Source organism: Homo sapiens, chromosome 5, assembly GCF_000001405.40.
Source record: "Homo sapiens chromosome 5, GRCh38.p14 Primary Assembly".
NCBI lineage: Eukaryota > Metazoa > Chordata > Mammalia > Primates > Hominidae > Homo > Homo sapiens.
In genome coordinates, this window is record NC_000005.10 from 152,963,678 (window position 1) to 152,972,709 (window position 9,032).

General features: G+C 36.4%; 1 long non-coding RNA gene across 1 annotated transcript in view; it reads right to left on the reverse strand.

Moving 5' to 3' along the window:
• LINC01470 (long intergenic non-protein coding RNA 1470) overlaps positions 1-8,672 on the reverse strand; it is a 353,385-nt gene extending 344,713 nt beyond the window's left edge. The window contains exons 1-2 of the long non-coding RNA NR_109877.1: positions 8,589-8,672; positions 2,564-2,657 (exon numbers count right to left, since the gene is read on the reverse strand). This is a non-coding gene — a long non-coding RNA (long intergenic non-protein coding RNA 1470). The remainder of the gene's footprint in view (positions 1-2,563; positions 2,658-8,588) is intronic.
• Between the last annotated feature and the right edge of the window lie 360 nt (positions 8,673-9,032).

Below are 9,032 nucleotides of genomic sequence, written 5' to 3' on the forward strand. Positions count from 1 at the left end.
CAGAACCATTTTCTATTCCCTACTTGTAATCATATGAAAGTCTCTATTTTTCTTTATTAATTTTCTCTCCCTCTGCGACAGTGTGAGCTCCGTAAAGGTAGGGAACTCACCTATTTTGATAGCTAGAGAAAGATGTGGTACATAATAGACATGCAAATATTTGCAGAATGGATGAATAAATGAATATATCACCTGTTCCCTACAGCACTGTAGTTTATACATCTGCCTGGACTCTTATACTATATTATAATTATTAGTTAATTTATCTCTCACTAGACTACTCTTAAGATTAAGAGTACTCTTAAGGTTAAAGCTATGCCTTAATCATACTAATATCCCTGTGGCTAGCAAGCAATTGGCATGTATTAAGCACTGTATGTTTTCTTTGTTTATTTGAAAGAAAGTAGAGAGGGGAGAGACATTATTAGCATAGGCAGGTTAGCACAAAGTAACTGGGATTTATCACCTTCTTTCACTTGGAAAATTTTTTGTTTGTTTGTTTGTTTTGTTTTGTTTTTTTTAAGACTAAGATGTCTTTGCTTTTAAAATGGTCCATAATTTTTTTTTCCTCCAAGAGTAAAAGTTTAGAAGGTCATGAATGAACAGGCTGCCCACCTCTAACTTTCAGGAATCACAACCATGAACCATAGGTAAAGACAGAAACACAGAATTCTAAACACCATGCTGTCCTCCCCTCATTCTAAACTGAAAAATGTGTCTATTCAGAGCTCATAAAATATTAATGATGAAAGGAATCTTTGAGTCCAACCCCTACATTTACTTATAGGTAAACTGAGACTGGAAGAGATTTTATTTTCTGCCACAGAACAAGTTAATAGCACAGTCAGAATTCAAAATTAATTTTCCTTAATCCCAATTTAGTTTTAGTTTTCTAACACACCAAAGCCTCATCATTCCATATTTAAGACCTCATTAATAGATATCCATAATCTTTCTCTTCATAGATATGAACCTAAACTTTGTATGTTAAAATGATAAAAAAAATACATATCATCAGTGACTTACAGTTTGGGTGGGGAGTTGCTTAACAGAGCATCAACATGCTAACAAGGAAATAAAGAAGGTTAGGCTGTAGACACTGAGCTCCGATGGAAATTAAAATTGTCAGCATCAAGGTATATAAGTATAGCTCAAACCATCCAGTTAATTAACTTTTAAGTTCTTGATACTCACATTTCCCTTTGATTACAGTGAGAAAGATATTGGTGGGTTTGAATTGAGCTCTTGTTACCATCACTACTGAAAATGCAAGACCTTTCGCTGACAGATCAATACATATCTCTTCATTTAGACTCATGAATTGTTAGAGTATCCCTTTTTGGTCATCATTCCTAAAACAAACAAACAGAAACTATTCCCCAATCTTCTGTGACAACATTTATTTTATTTTCCTCTTTCCTATGGACTGTTCTAGTTTCTTTTTTTAATGATCTCATATGTTACTAATACTAAGAGTTGCATTGTCAGCCCTTCTGTCATCTTTCATACTTCACTTACACAATCTCATTCATTCCCACAGTCTGGAATATCTACCCTCTCATGATTCCAAAATCCATGTCTCTAGCTCACTCTCCTAAATAGTGTTTCCTATATTCAATTCCTCATTGCACATAACTACCAGGAAACCTTGCAAGCACCTCAAACTCCACACATTCCAAACTGAAATCTTTTTCCACCTCCTTCATACCTTGTTTTTTTCTTCAGAATCTCTGTCTCAGGAAAGGCACTATCTTCAACCCAGTCATTCAACCCAGAAACCTGGCGGTCATTATGGATGCTTCACTCTATGTGTATTTACCTCTTCATCCCCAGCCCCTCCTTCATATTCAACCAACCACCAAGTCCTGTGGCTTCCACCTAAAATCCCATCAGATCTCTATTTCATGGCAGGAGTTTCCGCATTGATATCGAATGTACCGTCTCTGTCAGGGTGGTCTCATGAACCGCTATTGTCTTGCACAAACACTTGTGTTATACAGACACAGATGAAGAACTTGCAAGGATCATCTGGGTTACCTCAGAGCAGGAAGGTATATTAATGTTACCATTGTTTTCTGAAGGTGGACAGGGACTTCAGTAACACAGACTTTGATGTCAGTCATACATAAAAAGAACACAGCTGGAACTTAAGAAAAAAAGGTGGCTCTCCAAAAATAATAAAAATGAATAAATATACAGACTAAAAACTATGAAATATTTAATTTATAATAATTTTATTATCAGTATTATTTAAATGTTTGCTACAGTCCTGACACTTTGCTAAATATTTTCATGTAGTGCCTTATTTGTGTTATAACTTTACTAGCATATGGTCTATTCGGCAAAGTAACTGTAATTAATCACCTCCTTTCACTTGGAACATATCCTTTTTTCCAGCCTAAGATGGCTTCACGTGTAAAATAGTCAAAGAAGAGGAAATTGAGGCCCAGAGAATGTAACTTACCTGCTACAATCACAAAACTTATAAATAACAGAACTGGGGAGAAGCCACCCTCTCTAACAGAGAGTTCAAGTGCTCTTATCTCTCCCCAAACCCACATACCTCCTTCTTTATTTGGGAGTCTCTGGACAGGGCAGTCTCATTGTCACTTCTCTCTTTGTTCATTAAACAGTCATTTCTCAGTTCTCAGGAGTTCCTAGAAGATAAAGTACTTCTGTCCACTCACATTCACATATACTGCCCAGAAGTCCCCTGGATCTCCCACAGATTTTTCTAAGAATTCCAGCATCACATCTCTAAGTACCACAATCTCTATTACCAGTGTGTGATGTCTGAAATGTGCAGGCTACTTAGTCAGAAATGTTAGACAGGAGGTAGGAAAGTGGCCTTGAATGGTGATCACACATTTCTGGAAATCTGGAAATTAGTATCATCTACAAAAAGGGGTGGTTTTCTTGAAGGGAATGTGTTTGTCAACAGTGGTCCAAAATGAGCCAAGAGAAGTAGCAATGCAAAACGGAACTTGGATTTCCCACCCACAAGATAGTTTTGAGTTTTGCCACTTCTCTTCCTCTAACAGCAAAAATAACTGTGAATTAGGAGTTGCTATATTTGGAATGAGAAGGCGTGGGGAACTCAAGCTCCTGAGGCCAAGGCAGGAGGTGGATAAAGAGCAGCAATAACAAGTCATGTGAAATCACAACTTATTATCAGCAAGCAGGACAGCTCCATCTCCACCTGGATGCAGAAATCACCTTGGAAAAAGCCAGCAAGTAACTTAGCAAAACCCTCAGGACAAGCTCCTGGAAAATACTCCAAAGACACAGCTTCTTCAGAGCAAACCTTTATGTGAGTTTAAAAAAAAAAAAGAAAAGAAAAGAAAACGAAAATCGCAGGAGTATGAGAAAAATCAGAGCTATCAGAGCAGAAAGGAAACAGATTATCCTGTCACACCTTTGAAGCAGAAACTGAAGTCCAAAAAGAGAATGGGATTCAGCCAAGGGCACACAGGATATTAGTAGCCGACAGTTGCTTTTAGGATTAAGATCCAAATCTCAAGTCCCCTGCATGATCTTCCAGTCTCTTTTCTCAACCATAATTTTAACTCATCTCATTTTACCTTTTAGTTTCCCTGATGCAGTATTTCCTAACCTTTTTGATAATATAGAGGAATACTGGTATTCGTAAGATGCACTGGGGAAAACATATGACTCTTGTGTTCAGACATAATGAGCACTTGGGTCTCGGCCCACCTCCCGCCACCTTCATGGACCTCGGCACCCTAACCAGAATGCTCTGCCGTAATGCATCATGCTTCCCTTGCTCCACACACATGTTATTCACCCTTGAAAGGCACTTCACCTAGTTAGCTTGTACTACCCCTTCAGTTATCAGCTCAAGAACTCTTTCATCTAAGAAGTCATCTCTAAGTCACTGAACCCTCAGGACATTTTGACATGTCCTCCTAAAGAAGTGAATTATCTTCCTACATTAAAATCCTAAATACACATACACCTAACTCTGGAGCTCCCAGATTCATAAAATAATCACTACTAGACTTAAGAAATGAGATAGACAGCAACACAATAATAGTGAGGGAATTCAACACTCCACTGACAGTGCTAGACCAATCATTGAGACAGAAAATCAACAAAGAAACAATGGACTTAAACTACACTATAGAATGAATGGACCTAACAGATATTTACAGAACATTCTACCCAAGAACTTCAGAGTATACCTTCTTCTCATCAGCATAAACAATTCTCATTCAATTTTTAAAAACTGAAATCATATTAAGTATTTTTTCAGATGACAATGGAAAACTAAAAGTCAACTCCAAAAGGTACCCATTAAACTACACAAACACATGGAAATGAAACAATCTGCTCCTGAAAGATTTGGGGATTAACAATGAAATCGAGATGGAAATTAAGAAAAATCTTTGAAATGAATGACAACAGTGACAAAAGTTATCACAACCTCTGGGATACAGCAAAAGCAGTGCAAAGAGGAAAGTGTATAATGCTAGATGGCTACATCATTAGTGAAAGATCACAAATTTGCAACCTAACATCACACCTCAAGGAACTAGAGAAACAAGAAGGAATCAAACTCAAAGCTAGCAGAAGAAAAGGGATAACAAAGATTAAAGCAGAACTAAATGAAATTAAAACAAAAAAAAACACAAAAGATCAATGAAAATAGGTGATTCTTTGAAAATATAAATAAAATTGACAGACCATTCACAAGATTAACCAAGAAGAGAGAAGATCCAAATAAACTCAGAAATGAAACTAGACATTACAGTCGACACCACAAAAATACAAAAGATCATTTGAGAGTACTATGAATACCTCTATATACAAAAACTAGGAAATCCAGAGGAAATGGATAAATTCCTGGAAACATATAACCCTTCCAAATTAAATCAGGAAGAAACAGAAACCCTGAACAAACCAATAATAAGCAGTGACATTGAATCAGTAATAAAAAGAAAAAAAAATTGCCCACCAAGAAAAAATCCCCAGGGTCAGATGGATTCACAGCCAAATTCTACCATTCAAAGAATTGGTACCAATTCTACTGAAACTATTCCAAGAGATATAGAGAAAGAGGGAATCCTCCCTAACTCATTCTATGAATCCAGTATCGACCTGACCCCAAAACCGGGAAAGAACATAACAAAATAATGAAAAAGAAAAGTACAGACCAATATCCCTGAGAAACATAGATGAGAAAATCCTCAGCAAAATACTAGCTAAATCCAACAGCATATCAAAGAGATAATACACCATGATCAAGTAGGTTTTATCCCAGGGATGCAGGTGTGGTTTAACATGCACAAGTCAAGAAATATGGTACATCCCATGAACAGAATTAAAGATCATCTCCATTGATGCCAAAAAAGCATTCAACAAAATCCAGGATCCCTTTATGATAAAACCCCTTAACAAATTTAGCGTAGGAGGGACATACCTCAAAATAATAAAAGCCATATATGAAAAACCCACAACCGACATCATACTGAATGGGGAAAAGTTGAAAGCATTCCCCCTTAGAATTGGAACAAGACAAGGATGCTCACTTTCACCACTTCTATTCAAACACAGTATGGAATTCCTAGCCAGAGTAATCAGGCAAGAGAAGAAAATAAAGGGCATCCAAATTGGAAGAGAGGAAGTCAAACTGTAACTGTTCATCAATGATATGATTATATACCTAGATACCTAGAAAATCCAAAAGATTCCTCCAAAAGACTCCTAGATTTAGCAAATGAATACACGAAAGTCACAGTTACAAAATCAATGTACACTAATAAGTAGCACTACTATATACCAATGATGATCAAACTGAAAATCAAGCTGAGAATTTAATCCCTTTTACAATAGCTACAAGAAATAAGATGAAATACTTACGAATATTCTTAACGTAGAAGATGAAAGATCTTTACAAAGAGAACTACAAAACATTGCTGAAAGAAATCATAGATGACACAAATGAAAACATATTTTATGTTCACGGATTAGAAGAATCAATATTGTGAAAATGACCATATTGCCCAACCTACAGATTCAATGCAATTCTATCAAAATACTAATATCATTTATCATAGAATCAGGAAAAAAAATCCTAAAATTCATATAGAACCAAAAAAGAGCCCAAATAGTCAAAGCAATCCTAAGCAAAAAGAACAAATCTGGTGGCATCACCTGAATTCAAATTATACTACAAGGCCATGTTACCCAAACAATGTGGCACTGATATAAAAGTAGACACATAGAACAATGGAACAGAATAGAGAACCCAGAAGTAAAGGCAAATACTTAAAGCCAGCTGATCTCCAACAAAGCATACAAAAGCATAAACTGGGGAAAGGACACCCTATTTAATAAATTATTTAATAAATGATGCTGGGAAAACTGAATAGCCACATATGGAAGAATTAAATTGTATCTCTCTCACCTTATGTATAAAAATCAACTCAAGATAGATCAAATACTTAAACCTAAGATCTAAAACCATAAAAATTTTAGAAAAACACCTAGGAAAAACTCTTCCAGACACTGGCATAGGCAAAGAATTTTTTACCAAGACCCCAAAAGCAAATGCAACAAAAACAAAAATAAATAAATGGGACCTAATTAATTTTCTTTATCCATTTGTTGCTGCACGGGCACTTAATTTGGTCTCATATCTTTGCAATTTTTAATTGTGCTGCAATTAACATACGTGTGCAGGTATCCTTTTGATATAAGATTTTTTAAAGCTTCTGTTCAGCAAAAGAAATAATTGGAGTAAACAGACAACCCAGAGAATGGGAGAAAATATTTGCAAACTATGCATTCTACAAAGGACTAATATCCAGAATCTACAAGGAAGCCAAACAAGTCAGCAAGAAAAAAAAATCAAATAATCCAAATAAAAGTGGGCAACTGACATGAATAGACATTTTTCAGAAGAAAATATACAGATGGCCAAATGTGAAAAATGCTCAACATCACTAATCATCAGGAAAATATAAATTAGAACTACAATGAGATACCACCTTACCCCTGCAAGAATGGCCATTAGTATAAAGTCAAAAAACAGTACATGTTGGTGTGGATGTGGGAATGCTTATACATTGCAGGTGGGAGTGTAAATTAGTATAGCCTCTAAGGAAAACAGTATGGAGATTTCTTAAAGAACTAAAAGATCTACCATTTGATCCAGCAATCTCACTACTGGATATCTACCCAAAGGAGAAGTCATTATATAAAAAAGGTTACCTGAACATGTACGTTTATTGCAGCACAATTAACAATTGCAAAGATTTGGAACCAACCTAAGTGCCCATCGACCAATGAGTGAATAATGAAAACAGGGAATATTACTCATTACTACTCACTATTCCAGTACACCATGGAATACTACTCAGCCATAAAAAAGAATGAAATAATGTTTTTTGCAGCAACTTGGATAGAGACAGAGGCCATTATTTTAAGTTGGGGAACCCAGGAATGGAAAACCAAATGCCATATTTTCTCTTATAAGTGGGAACTAAGCTGTGGGTACACAAAGGCAGACTAAGTAGTATAATGGACTTTGGAAACTCAGAAGGAGGAGGGTGGGAGGTGGTTAAAGGATTAAAAAAACTACATATTGGTATGATGTACACTACTTAGTGCACACGAGGGCACTAAAATCTCAGACTTCATCGCTCTACAGTTCATCCATGTCACCAAAACCCACTTGTACTCTAAAAGCTATTGAAATTTTTAAAATTAAAAAAAAAACACTGGATTGCCTTCCTGTAAAACATTAGTCACTTTGAAAATACACGTGCATTTGTGTGATTCTTTGATCTATATGTACCTTCTGATGAGAAAGTAGGCTGTCAGATCATAAGAATAAAGACAGTGTTTCTTTTGCTCATGATTATGCCTACAGCCATTAGCATATAACTTATATTAGGTTCTCGATAAATATTAATTGATAAAATGGCCAGAGTTCATATCCCAAGACTTCTAGATAAGTACTTGGCCCTCATACGCCTCTTTCTAATCATATTTTTTAAACTTAACAACTATACCTTTTTTCTTGCCCATGGAAAATTTCGTTAAATTTACAGGAGCAGTACTCTTCACACCACACTTTGGAAAAGACTGGGAAGTGGAAAGAGCAGAGGTCTAGGTGTTAGCAAACCTACATTCTAGTCCAAACTGATTATTACTTTCTACAGTCCCGCAGGGAAGTAACGGCCCCTCTCTTCTCCTCAGTGGTCTCATCTTTCAACAGACTAGCCCCTTCTAACCCCATTGTTCCATTTCTATGCTGTTAGAATATATTTCACACCAGTTTTCTCCATTTTTATAACTTATCTCCAAGGTACCTGGTATCTATTGTTTTCTTCTGAATATGCCCATTGAGCTGTCTGTTTCCAGCATTCCCAAGGTTTTTCTCCCTTTTAGAACTGACTTGTTCCACTCACTTGGGGATTCTGATTACTTCTACAGTTGCTCCATTCAAGCCAGTCATATTTAGCTTAAGGGATAGTTTGTAGCTGGGTGTATTAGTCCTTTTTCATGCTGCTGATGAAGACATACCCGAGACTGGGAAGGAAAAGAGGTTTAATTGGACTTACAGTTCCACATGGCTGGGGAGGCCTCAGAATCATGGCAGGAGGTGAAAGGCACTTCTTACATTGCAGCAGCAAGAGAAAAATGAGGAAGAAGCAAAAGCAGAAATCCCTGATAAACTCATCAAATCTCGTGAGACTTATTCACTATCATGAGAATAGCACGGGAAAGACCAGCCCCCATGATTCAATTACTTCCCCCTGATTCCCTCCCAAAACACGTGTGAATTCTGGGAGATACAATTCAAGCTGAGATTTAAATAGGGACACAGCCAAACCATATCACTGGGTAAATTAACACTGAATAGGGAAGCATTATTATTTTAATAAGTGCTCCTGGTTTCTTAATCCAAAATGGGAGAATTCAAGAACTATGGCATAGACAAGACATTTTGGGAAAGGTAAGACCTTTCAGTGACACAAGTAGCATTTTGGATAGCTGTCTATGTA